The 13,389-nt window shown below is 38.5% G+C and overlaps 1 long non-coding RNA gene and 1 other non-coding gene across 2 annotated transcripts in view; both read left to right on the plus strand.

Moving 5' to 3' along the window:
• MIR548A1HG (MIR548A1 host gene) overlaps positions 1–13,389 on the plus strand; it is a 200,152-nt gene that overhangs the window by 44,946 nt on the left and 141,817 nt on the right. The gene's annotated exons all lie outside the window — the stretch shown is intronic.
• MIR548A1 (microRNA 548a-1) lies at positions 4,092–4,188 on the plus strand. Its single transcript, NR_030312.1, has one exon. It is a non-coding gene; the product is annotated as a microRNA 548a-1 (primary transcript).

A 13,389-nucleotide genomic window follows, 5' to 3' on the forward strand; every position in this document is an offset into this window, starting at 1 on the left:
TAGAATGTCCTTCTTTTTAAAGGCTGAATAGGATATCATTGTATATATACCATATATTTTTTTTTTTTTTTTTTTTTTTTGAGACGGAGTCTCATTCTGTCACCCAGGCCAGAGTGCAGTGGTGCAATCTGGGCTCGTTGCAACCTCAGCCTCCCAGGTTCAAGTGATTCTCCTGCCTCAGTCTCCCACCCCGCTCAGCTGATTTTTTATATTTTTAGTGGAGACGGCGTTTCGCCATGTTGTCCAGGCTGGTTTCAGACTCCTGACCTCAGGTGATCCGCCTGCCTCAGCCTCACAAAGTGCTGGGATTACTGGCATGAGCTACTGTGCCCACCCCCATTGTATATATGCCACATTTTATTTATCCACTCATCTGCTGATGGACTCTTAGGTTGCAGTGTCCATAGTGTTTAGTTAGAATGGGGAGAAAGTACATGAGAGAAAATCTGGAGATATTTGAACATGGTTGAATCTAATAGAAAAGAAGTTGACCATACAAGAAGACACACTCAATCAACGAAGTCCTTGACCAAACCAGAGGATGGAATCTGGAATGCCAGTGAAAGAAATGTTGATGTAGGTAGGGATGAAAGGCAGGTATAAATGTTTTTTTGGGAAGCTGAAGGAGTTACTGTCTGATAGTTTCTACTTCTCCAAGAGGTCATCTGCTAGATGATAGAGGAAAGATTGATGGTAGTGGGATGTTGGGAATACTTGAGAATCTGTGAAATTGAAGTGGAGAATGGGAAAATTTGATGATAGGGATGATAATGTTTTGGGGCAAATTTCAGGGGCCAGGTGAAGTTATTAACCATAAATTTATGGTGATTCCAGTCAGCCTGGCTGGGCAAATTCCTCTGGTAATACTTAGCAACTTGTGAGACATTCATTGAGATGTAGGATATTGAATTCATATAGGTTTGGGATTTTGTTAGGCAGGTGCAGCTAGAAGATAGTGGAGCAAGAAAGTTCCTGAAGATGAGCAAGAGAGTGGTTGATATTATTAACCACCGAATTGTAGATAAGAAAGGAAGAAAATGAAGGCTAGAAGGTGTGGAAAAGAGAAAGTAAAGTGGGAAGTGCTCCAGAGGTTTCTATAGGACTGATGACATGTGTGTTGAGAATAACTTAGGGCATAGGTGGAACAGTGGTGGTTTGTGGCCAAAGCTGCCTTATGCTTATATTAATAAGTAGCTTCAGAGATGGTGCAGTTCAACAGTTCTGAGTGATGTCAAGTATGGGAGGGTGGCTAGGTGCAGTGGCTCATGACTGTAATCCCAGCTACTCTGGGGCTGAGGAGGGAGGACCACTTGAACCCAGGAGGTCCAGCTGCAGATCACATCACTGTACTCCAGTCTGAGTGACAGAGCCAGACCCCATCTCTTAAAAAAATTTGGGAGGGTGCTATAGACTGAATGTTTGTGTTCCCCCAAAATTTATATTTTGAAATCTTAACCCCCAATATGATGGTATTAGGTGGAGGAATTTTTGGTAGGTAATTAGGTCATGAGGGTGGAGCCCTCATGAGTGGGATTAATGCCCTTATAAGAGATGCCAAGCTAGGTGCAGTGGCTGACACCTGTCATTCCAGCACTTTGGGAGGCCAAAGTGGGAGAATTGCTTGAAACCAGGAATTTGAGACAAGCCTGGGCAACATAGTGAGACCCCATCTCCACACACACACACACACACACACACACACACACACACACAGACACACACACACACACATACATATACACGCACACTTAGCCAGATGCAGTGGATTGCGCCTGTAGTCCCAGCTACTCAGGAGGCTAAGGTGGGAGGGTCACCTGAGCCTGGGAGGTTGAGTCTTCAGTGACCTATGACCGTGCCACTGCAGTACAGCCTGGGTGACAAAGTGAAACTCTGACTCTAGGAAAAATAAAAAAAGAAAAAAAAAAGAAAAAAAAAAGAAAAAGAAAGATACCCTGGAGAATCCTTTGCTTCTTCTGACATGTGAGGAACACAGTGAGAACATTGTGAACAAAAGCAGGCTCTCACCAGACATCAAAACTGCTGGTGATTTGATCCCAGACTCCCAACCTCCAAAACTGTGAGAAATATTTTTTTCTTATTTATAATCCATGCAGATTATAGTATTTTGTTATGGCAGCCAAAATGGACTGAGACAGAGGAGGTAGCCAAAGTGAAGTGGAAGAGGAAGTTTCTGAAGCCATGAAGTGAGACTGGCTATGAAGATAATAAAGTCACTCAGAATTTAGGATGAAGAGAAAAACTGCAAGCCAGTTACCAAAGAAGTCAGTGAATACAGCCAATATAGTGAAAAAAATGTTGAAATTTGAGTCTGGAGTTCTGGACTATAAATTCTCCAATCACATTCAGTACTGCCTTGATCTTCCTATATTTACCACCTTGAATTATATGATAATAATTTTTAGAGTTTCTCCTTTAACTGATTATAAGCTCCTTTGGGTTCAAAGGTGGTGCCTTGTTTATTGTGTATAACTCAGATTACTTGATGCCAGATGTGCAATACATTTTATCTTGGTTAGATGAATAGAAGAAAATTAAACAAATAGGTGCCATTTTGGAGGATAGAGAGGACATTCCTATTTCCCTGATTGGAGTTTTAGACTATGACAGACCTTGTTCTCCTCCTCTCCTTAATTCCAGTGTAATCAGTTAGGCACATATGTTTAAAAAACTAGAACATTTACAGCTTTGATGAAATTGAATAAAAGTAAAAAAGGCCTTCCTCTTATTTACCTTTGATTCCTTGCTTCTCATTTGCTCTGCCACCTCTCAGCATTGTAACTCAGTTTCTTAGTATCAAGTATAAAGCTGCGAAACAGAATTTAGGGCGACTCAGATTTTAAAAGTCTCATCTTGGATTCAGTGTTCATTCCCCTCAAAAGCCAAGAGGTGGCTAAGAGAGAACAAAATCAGTAAAGAGAAACATTAAAGTCTGCTTCATCTGAATTTTGTTTTACAATGCATCCATCTTCAAAGTTTGTCCATGTGATGATTAAGCTTTTTAAGGACAAAAATTGTTTTTCCATATGGTCTGATTGGTCATTTCCTTAGCATCTTTGCTCATTTAACAAAAGCGATATTAATGCTCTGTACTTAAGAAAATTGTGAAATGGAGAATGACACAGACACACACACACACACACACACACACACACACACATCAATCATATGAGGTCTTATAACATTTGTAAATATGAGTTTTCTTCCTTAAATTTGAATGCTAGAGACAAAAAGAAAGATGAAGATGGAGTAAACTGAGTGAAGGAAAGGCAACACATTGTGGCCTAAAGATACAACCAGGGCTTGATTTCTATTGGATGAATTGTGTTCGTACTTGACATAGTCTCATACTCCTTTTTGGGATAAAAGAGTAAGTTGGCTTTGACAACCGTCACCACATTGGTCTCTGAGGATGACCTTTCTGGACAGGGGAATGTGCCTCTCTTTCTTTGCTATTCATGTGTGTACCTCCTGAAGCTGCATGTTCTATTGAAGAGGATAGCCTTTAATTCAATGTTTAGTTCAGTGCATACAAATATCTCAACACACCAGTCAATATTTCTCATACCTTCCTCTATCTACTAGTACCTCTGCCCTCCCTTCTCCCGGGTTTTCAGGATTCCTTTGTAAACTTTTGGCTGCCCGAATTCCAGTGTTTGGATGCTTCATGAAGTCTTTCTCTTCTCCAGCATGATCCATGCTTTGCATGTAATTATCTCTTTCCCTTCCAAGCCCTCCCTTAAAATTTCCCTTTTCTTGTGATCAATGAATTGATATATGTTAAGTACTTGCTCTGGATTATCAGTTTGGCTCCAATGCTTAAAGAACTTATTCTTTTGAGTCAGAGTTTACTTGCATAAACAATCACAAAAAAGCAGTTGTGGGTCAAATTACATCACCCATAGAAGTAATTTTTTACAGAAAAAAGAAGTCAATATGGGCTAATGCAGTTAAGAGAAAGTTTAATGGAATCCAAATGCACAAGTATCTGGAGATAAAGGGTTAATGTTTTATTTCCCTACTGAATAAGTTATTGGAATAGTTAGAACTTAGTGAAATTAATATTTATGCACTGCAGGGAGGTATTAAGTTGGTGCAAAAGTAATTGTGATTTTTGCCATTAAAAGTAACGACAAAACTGGCAATTACTTTTGCACCAAACCTGGTATTTTTGATCATAGCTACATATGCCCTTCAAATATCACTTAGCTTCCTAAATGGTGCAATTTCCTTCTGTTAGCTGAAGTGCTACAACCCTCAGTCTCTTCCGATTTATGGGGGCACTATGCAGAAGCTAAGAGCTAACATGAACACTGGGGTCTCTATGAGGGTTGACTGAGATGAAGATGATTCTGACGATGCCATCCTGACCTGAGTCTTTGGATGCCTTGTGTCTGGAATTTGGGAAGGGGCTATGGGCTAACGCTTTCAAATGCTTGAAGCTTCTCTGATTTTAGTAGTTTTTCAGTGACATGAAGAAACAGACTTTCTTTCTACAAACCATTTTCCAAGAGTTAGACCGGATACTTCTGTTCCCTCTGGCAGACCAGTTATCCTGCCACTCTCTCTCTCTCTGTGTTTTTTAACTTAAATTTGATTTTTGAAGGATTTAATCTCATTCCCTATCACAACATTGTTTTTCATAACAGCAGGAAGAAATTTGATAAACCATTCTAGTTTCTTACATTTGTGAATTTAGTTCCCACTTCGTCAAAATGGGCTCCTGTCGAGAGAGGAAACCAGATGCACGAGGTTGTTGGAGTCTTAAATGTCTCTCCAGCTTCTTGAAGCAATTGCATTAAAAATCTTAATAAATATAGTTGCTGACTTTCTTGCTCCCTCTGTGTTCCTGCTGCAGTTATACTATTTACACTTGAGTTTTTGCCACAGCTGGTTCGAATTCAATGATTGTCTGCTCCACTCTGCCTGTTTTAAGTTATTATCTCCCTCAAGGTTTCTCTTCCATGCATGGAGCTTCTTGTAATTCCTTTCTTTGATTGAAAAGAGATGGAGTGGTGTAGCAAGAAGAGTATTGGTGTTGGTCCCAGAGATGCTCAGGGTTTGCATCCTACTTCTGGCATTTACTTGATGCATGATCTTGAGTATTTTCACTTTTTTGACACTCATTATACTTACCTTGAAGAGTTGTTAGGATCATATAAAATAACCCATGCAACAGCATCTCCCACAACGACTTGCATAGAGGAGCATTTACTCTGACTATTTCTTACACTTATCTTCATGAATTTGGCTATAATCAAGAAACAGAAATTTTGTATTCAGAGGGGGACTATTCTAAACCTAGTGTTGTATTCCATTTGCACCATATACAGGCTGTTATTTATTTTTCATTCTGATTTTTTAGTTATCAATATTCCTATAGTATTAATATTAGTACTTTATATTGATATAGTACTTGAGGCTTATAATGTGCTCTTGTGTTTTTGTGTATCTTCATGTGCTTTTGTATCGTGCAACATACACAGCCTGAAATACATCTTGTTGGTTCATCATTCTCTATGGGGTATTACATACATGGTCTGCTTATTCTGAGCACCATAATCATAACTGCAGAGTTTACTTGGTTAAGAAAGTCAATTATAACAGAAGTGGAGCTCTTTAAACTGGAACTCCATGAAGACAACTGAACACATCTCTTGAGCTCCAAGGAAACGTGGTAGTGGCCTAGTCTGAATTGTGCCACTTCTCCTCTTGGAAATTATACAGAACAATAAATCAAATTTTAAATATCTACAAATTCCATTTTCAGTGAAACTAGGAGACCCAGAATATTCTCGAACTACAAATTATGTGTACATGCTGCCCCAAACACCTGAGGCCAATGGAGGCTGGCAAAAAGCTGCATGGTAAATGGTGATGGACAATGGAAAGGAGGTGAGGATGCAGCAGCTGTGGTGGGAGTCTCAGAAAACACAGCAGTGTTCACTTCCAGAGCAGAGGGCCCCATCTGGGGTGGCAGCTCCCGTGAACAGAGATGAAATCAGAGTGACCAACTCTTCCTAGTTGCCTGGAACTTTACTGGTTTTAGCACTGAAAGTCCTATGTCCTAGGAACCTCCCCAAACCTGGGCAAACTGGGACGCAGCTCACCCCAGATGAACTGGAACAGAGTGGGCCACCAAAGGGAGATGGCAAAGGCCTGGGACCGCACGGGTGGCAGAGTATAAAAAGTACAAGTGAAAATAGATCAACAAAAAGTGAGGATACTCCCGTGGAAGGTAAGAGATGTGTTCCAGGTGGCAGTGGCTTATAAAGATACTGTGATGTCACATGGGAAGAAGCCATTCTGAGCCTTTTAAAATTTTTTCTGTCTTTTAAAAAATTTCCAATTTTTAATTCTTATGGGTATATAGTAGGAGTATGTATTTATGGGGTACATGAAATATTTTGATACAGGCATGCAATGTGTAATAATCACATCATGGAGAATGGGGTATTCATCTACTGAAGCATTTATGCTTTGTGTTACGAACAATCCAATTATACTCTTTTAGTTATTGGAAGGGGAACATCACACTCTGGGGACTGTTGTGGGGTGGGGGGAGGGGGGAGGGATAGCATTAGGAGATATATCTAATGCTAAATGATGAGTTAATGGGTGCAGCACACCAACATGGCACATGTATACATATGTAACTAACCTGCATATTGTGCACATGTACCCTAAAACTTAAAGTATAATAATAATAAAATAAATAAGTAAAATGTAGTTACTATTGACTATAGTTACCCTTTTGTGCTGTAAAATAGTAGGTCTTATTCATTCTTCCTATTTTTTTGTACCCATTAACCATATCTACTTCCCTCTCAACCACCCACTACCCTTACCAACCTCTGGTAACCATCCTTCTACTTTCTATGTCCATGAGTTCAACTGTTCTGACTGTTAGAGCCCACAAATAAGTGAGAACATGCGATGTTTGTCTTTCTGTGCCTGGTTTATTTCACTTAACATAATGATCTCCAGTTCCATCCATGTTGTGGCAAATGACAGGATCTCATTCTTTTTCATGGCTAAACAGTACTCCATTGTGTATATGTACCATATTTTCTTTATCCATTCATCCATTGATGAACACACGTTGCTTCCAAATCTTGGCTATTGTGGACAGTACTGCAAGAAACATGGGAGTGCAGATATCTCTTCGATATACTGATTTCCTTTCTTTTGGGTATATATTCAGCAGTGGGATTGCTGGATTATATGGTAGCTCAATTTTTGGTTTTCTGAAGAACCTCTAAACTGTTCTCCATAGTGGTTTGACTAATTTATATTCCCATCAACAGCGTACAAGTGTTTTCTTTTCTCCACATTCCACCAGCATTTGTTATTGCCTGCCTTTTGGATATAAGCCATTTTAACTGGGGTGAGATGACATCTCATTGTAGTTTTGTTTTGCATTTCTCTGATGGTCAATGATGTTGAGCACTTTTTCATATGCCTGTTTGCCATTTGTATGTCTTCTTTTGAGGAATGTCTATTCAAATCTTTTGCCTATTTTTGGATGGGATTATTAGATTTTTTTTCCTATAGAATTGTTTGAGCTCTAAACTATAGAGCAGTTTGCAAATATTTTCTCCCATCCTTTGGGTTGGCTTTTCACTTTGTTGATTGTTTCCTTTGCTGTGCAGAAGCTTTTTAACTTGATGTAATCCCATTTGACCATTTTTGCTTTGGTTGCCTGTGCAACCAAACTAATGTCCTGGAGATTTTCCTCAAATTTTTTTTGTAGTGGTTTCATAGTCTGAGGCCTTAGTTTTAAGTCCTTAATCCACTTTGATTTGATTTTTGTTCACAGCGAGAGATAGGGGTCTAGTGTTTATTCTTCTACATGTAGATATTCAGCTTTCCCAGCATCATTTCATGAAGAGACTGTTTTCTCCCCAGTGTATATGTTCTTGGCACCTTTGTCCAAAATGAGTTCACTGTAGGTGTGTGGATTTGATTCTGGGTTCTCTATTCTGTTCCATTGGTCTCTGTGTTTTTATGCCAGTATATGCTGTTTTGGTGACTATAGGTGTGTAGTATAATTTGAAGTCAGCTAATGTGATTCCTCCAGCTTTGTTCTTTTGAGCATTAAAGGCAAAGAAAATGTGGTTGCACAGAGGCATCATTTTTAAAGGAAATAGTCTGTTGTAACAGAGGAGGATGCCCATTATCTGTGAAGCTTAGAACACTGGATGTCCTCAGTCCTTCCCTTCTGTGCACTAGAATTCTTTGTCTAGCTGGTTAAGGAAAATAAAACTCATTCAAATATGAGTAAACAAAAAAGAGCTGGCATAGCATTTATACAGAGATCTATTAAATTGTGGAAAACAATAGAAAAACGTTCCTATAGAAGAACGAAATGCACCAGAAAGCTATTGCCAAGATGCAGATAAAACTTGTAACTTAACATCCCATGAATTAAAAATAAAAAACTTAATGGAGTAATAACTGTTATTATTATTTTTAAATTAAATTAAATGTAATTTAATTTTAAGTTCCGGGATACCTGTGCAGGACATGCAGGTTTGTTACATAGGTAAATGTGTGCCATAGTGGTTTTCTGCACCTGTCAACCCATCACCTAGGTATTAAGCCCCACATGCATTAACTATTTATCCTGATGCTCTCTCCCCAACCCGCCCCACAGACAGGCCCCAGTGTGTGTTGTTCCTCTCCTTGTGTCCATGTGTTCTCATTGTTCAGCTCCCACTTATAAGTGAGAACATGCAGTGTTTGGTTTTCTGTCCCTGTGTTAGTTTGCTGACGATAATGGCTTTCAGCTTCATCCATGTCCCTGCAAAGAACATGATCTCATTCCTTTTTATGGCTGTATAGTATTCCATGGTGTATATGTACCACATTTTCTTGATCCAGTCTATCATTGATGAGCATTTGGGTGGATTACGTGTCTTTGCTATTGTGACTAGTGTGGCAGTGAACATATGTGTGCATGTATCTTTATAATAAAATGATTTATATTCCTTTGGGTATATACCTAGTAATGGGATTGCTGGGTCAAATAGTATTTTTGGTTCTAGGTCTTTGAGGAATTGCCATACAATAACAGTTATTTTAATGAAAGTATACAAAGCAGAAATATGAGGACTCAGGGCTGGACAACAGAAAATGAGGAACAAATTAAAGGAGAAGGTAAAATGGGATTTGGTAGAAACCATGAAAGAAATAAAAGTACAAATCAAAATTATTTCAGAAGTAAAGACTAATAAATTAGATTCAGCACAAGGAAGAGTAGACACCATTGAAAGTACAGTGAGGGACAAAGGAGGTAGACATGAAATGAACGAGAAATACAGAGATAAAGAGGATTAGAGTCAAAATTATAGGAATAAAGTACGAGCAAAGGAGATCAAATACATTCACATAGAGTCTACCAAGAGAAAACCGAAACAAAAAAACAGAACAAATATTTAAAAATACAATATTTAAAAATACAATTCAAGAAAACTTTTCAAATATAAAATAAGGCATGAATCTACGTATTTAAAGAGCTTATAATGGACCAGAAAATTGCTCTAGAGAAGTCAAGACAAATCCTAAAATGATTAGAATAAAGAATGAATATTTTGAATGAGCCTGTAAAAATATCAAGTCACTTATGATGGGATGAAGTTGGGCAGGAGTCGGACTTCTTTAAAGATATGAATCTACCCTTAGAAGATTTTTTTTTTTAAAGAATGAGCCAAAGATTTTATATGTGGTTAAAATATCTTTTACATCTGAAAGATTCTAGAAAAACAGATTTCAATGTGCAAGAACACAGGAGACATTATTCATGTCAGCCCATTTTGAGGAAATGATTAGAGGAGGAACTCCCGCCAACCAAGCAACGGCTGGGGAAATGTCAGTGAAACTGGCAGTGAGAATTAAGGCAGTAGATTTAAGTCCCAAAGCAAAGAAGGGGAAAATCCAAGGGGCAAAGTCTGAAAGCAGTGAAGGGAGTAAGCCCCAGCATATATCTGAAAGGGCCAAACCTTGATTGGCAATGACATGCCTCCTTCATTGGACAAAAGGAAGTAGGAAAAGCTGATTAGATGAAGGAAGACAGTTTCTATTTTCTCTGTGATGTAAAGGTTAAGTCTGTTCACCAAAATAAGGGGCTAGGACTGGGGTAAGGGTCAGCAATGTAAAGAAAAAAAATGTGTGGAAGAGAGTGAGAGATCAAGCTTCCAGAGAATTATAGTAGAAATATGTATAAGCAGACTTTGTTGCTTAAAGAAAATCTGCAATGAATCTCTTAGTTATAGCATACTATTTATTATGAGGTATTTGAATTTATTTATCCTGTAAATTGGATGTTGAATAGTGTGCAGAAGTTTGAAGTAGAATTGTATGTTATTTTGCATCTGTTGATATATTTCTTTCCATTTTTAAGTGCAAATCCATTCACTTAGTTTCATTTTTCTACTGTATTACAATGCACTGAGGATAAGGGATATCTTTTCATGGCACCCAACTCAGTACTCTGGTCACTTCATGTGTTCATTCAATAAATATTTGGTAAATTAATAAATGAAACACAACTATAATATTTCATTCTGCTTAATATTTATTTTCTAACACTCGTCTTTAAAGATCCACATGAAATTAGTCTTACTTTTAATAATAATTTAATTTTCAGGCTCCGAGAAAGTAATATATAAACTTGAAATTCCTGGTGAAGGTTAGAATAAAAATTGCAATGAAATTATAAATGTTAAGCTGCATAAGCTTCTCACTTGATTCATTTGATGGATTAAGGTATATATATGTCTCAATATCCCTCGTCTGGTTTTTTTTGTTTGTTTGTTTGTTTTGACAAGAGTCTCACTCTGTTGCCCAGGCTGGAGTGCAGAGTGCAATCTCAGCTTACTGCAACATTTGCCTCCCAGGTTCAAGTGATTCTCATGCCTCAGCCTACCAAGTATCTGGGACTACAGGCACATGCTACCTTGCTCGGCTAATTTTTGTATGTTTAGTAAAGGAGGGGGTTTTGCCATGTTGGCCAGGCTGGACTCGAACTCCTGACCTCAAGTGATCCGCCCACCTCGGCCTCCCTAAGTGCTGGGATTACAGGCACGAGCCAGCACACTTGGCCTGAATTTTTAAATAAAACAAAAAGTCATGTATGGACTTTATATACAAAAAGTATATGAAGCACTGTGTTCATATAAGAATTGTTCCAGATAAGCCAGCCAGGGAGGGATTCAGTAGCAGCTACGAATTAAAAAAGGCCATTTGCCTGGTAATTTCAGGATGGTTAAACAATCAAGCACCACACAACTGTAGGACTACACTATCCAAGGGTGAGAATAAGAATTATTTTCTCTGGGACCTTTAGATGAACTAAGATTGAATTGTTTGCTTACTGGTGTGGGCAAAGCATTTCCAAGTCTTCTTTTCTAGTTTCCCACAGACCCGAAGAAGATTTTCCAAAGATATTCTCTCAATCCAATTGCAATCAAGCCAACATATACTAGACGCTGTTTTTCTTACAAAATTTGTAATATACATTTTATTTTGTTGTTAATTTACTTTGAAAATGTAATTATTCAATAAAGCACACTGTTCACAATTTTGTGTGAAACAGAAAACACTTGAGGATTAGGCAACATCAAAGATAATTTATAGCTACCAAATTATTGCTTACATAAGCAAAAGGAAGGCTGAGATGGTGAAAAGTAAGCCATACGGGGAAGAACTGAAGAAAGTGTGGCTATGCATTGTGTAATTTATGTCTTTAATGAGGAAAATTTCAGAATGATAATTGAGAACATCTATAACAATAGCTATGGCTTGGTATGAAAGGATTCCACAGCTCAAGAGAAAAGGATGGTCTGATTCAACATGAGACAGCCCTTTCACCTTGACATCTTGTTATCTGACTCTTTAAGAAGAGCCCCAGATCTACTATCCACAGCTTTAATCACTGCATGTTTTGAGGAACAAGACTGTGCTATAGTTGAAAGAGAATACACTTTGGAACCAAGAAGAATGGGGTCCCAATCTTCACTGCAGTATATACTAAACATGAGCCCAGAATTTGACAATACCTTCTCTGCAGAAGTGTTATTTAATATTACCAATAATGTGAGCAAAGCACTTAGCAGAGTACTGGGCACATAGGAAGTCTGGGATGAATGATAACTACTATTATTACTCTTTCATGGAGAGAAATTTTATTAGGGTTAAAAAAAATCTCAGAGTAACTAAACATCCACAAATCTCAAACAGCCATCTGTTTTGAGCAACATTCATATTATGAAACTCCAACTCACTGAAATGATTTAGATACCCTCTTAAAACTCACCATAATGAGATTTGGCCTGCACCAGAGAAAAGTCGTTAATGACCTAATTGTGAAATCTGATGGCCTGTTTTCAGTCATCTTTTTATTTATCTCCTCTGTGGCACATAATGCTATTGACTATTCTTAATTCATTCATTTGGATTCCTTAACAATGCTCTCTCCTGGTTTTTCTCTGATTTCAGGCTCCTTTCCTGGGGCTAAGATTTCACAGAGGACTTTTCTCCACTTCCTGATCTCATTTTCTGTGAAGACTTCACTTAAGTTTGCTGGGCAGAGTCAACACAGTTCAACAAACTTTTATTCAGTAGCTACTACATCCTTGCCTTTCTTTTAGGTATTGGAGTAACAATGACAAATGAGACTGGAGTGATGCAGACTTCCTATGCTCAGCCATATTGAATTCTTCTCTCCTTCCTGAACACACTGGAAGGTTATGCCTCTCAGCCCCTTGCAGGAGATGAGGCCATGCAGCCAGTTCTAGCATGAAATGTGAATGCAATGATGTGAATGCAAATCCTGTGCAGAGGTATTAAGAGCCACGGTGCTGCTTTCTCACTCTCTCGCTCATGGCACCGTGACTGCAGAAATGATGTGTTGAGCTGACAGTGTCACAGTGTGGAGGGAGCCTGGACCTAGGATTGCCAGATGGAGGGAATTCCTACCGACTTGCATCCAATTTTGCATGATTGAAAAATAACTTGCACTAAGCTGCTGAAATTCAGTTTATTACCACACTCTATTCTACCCTATCTGCTCCTAAACTGCTAAAATACAACATACTTGGAGGAGATGTGTATATGTGTATAAGCAGATACTACCAAGAAAAAGTGCTAAAGGCTATCACAGAGTGATCACAGTATATTTTTGGAACATTGAGAAGGGGCAGTGAGCTCATTCTGAGGGAGAGTGTTTAGGGAAGATGTGACTTCTTGGTTCTAACTCATCTCTTTCTTCTCATTTTCCCATCCCTGAACCCAACTTAGAGCAGGTGTCAGGGGAGGGAGGGCCACTCTGGGCAGCAGTTTGCCTAGATTATTATGAGCCAGAAACCTAAG

This window comes from Homo sapiens, chromosome 6 (assembly GCF_000001405.40).
Source record: "Homo sapiens chromosome 6, GRCh38.p14 Primary Assembly".
Lineage (NCBI taxonomy): Eukaryota > Metazoa > Chordata > Mammalia > Primates > Hominidae > Homo > Homo sapiens.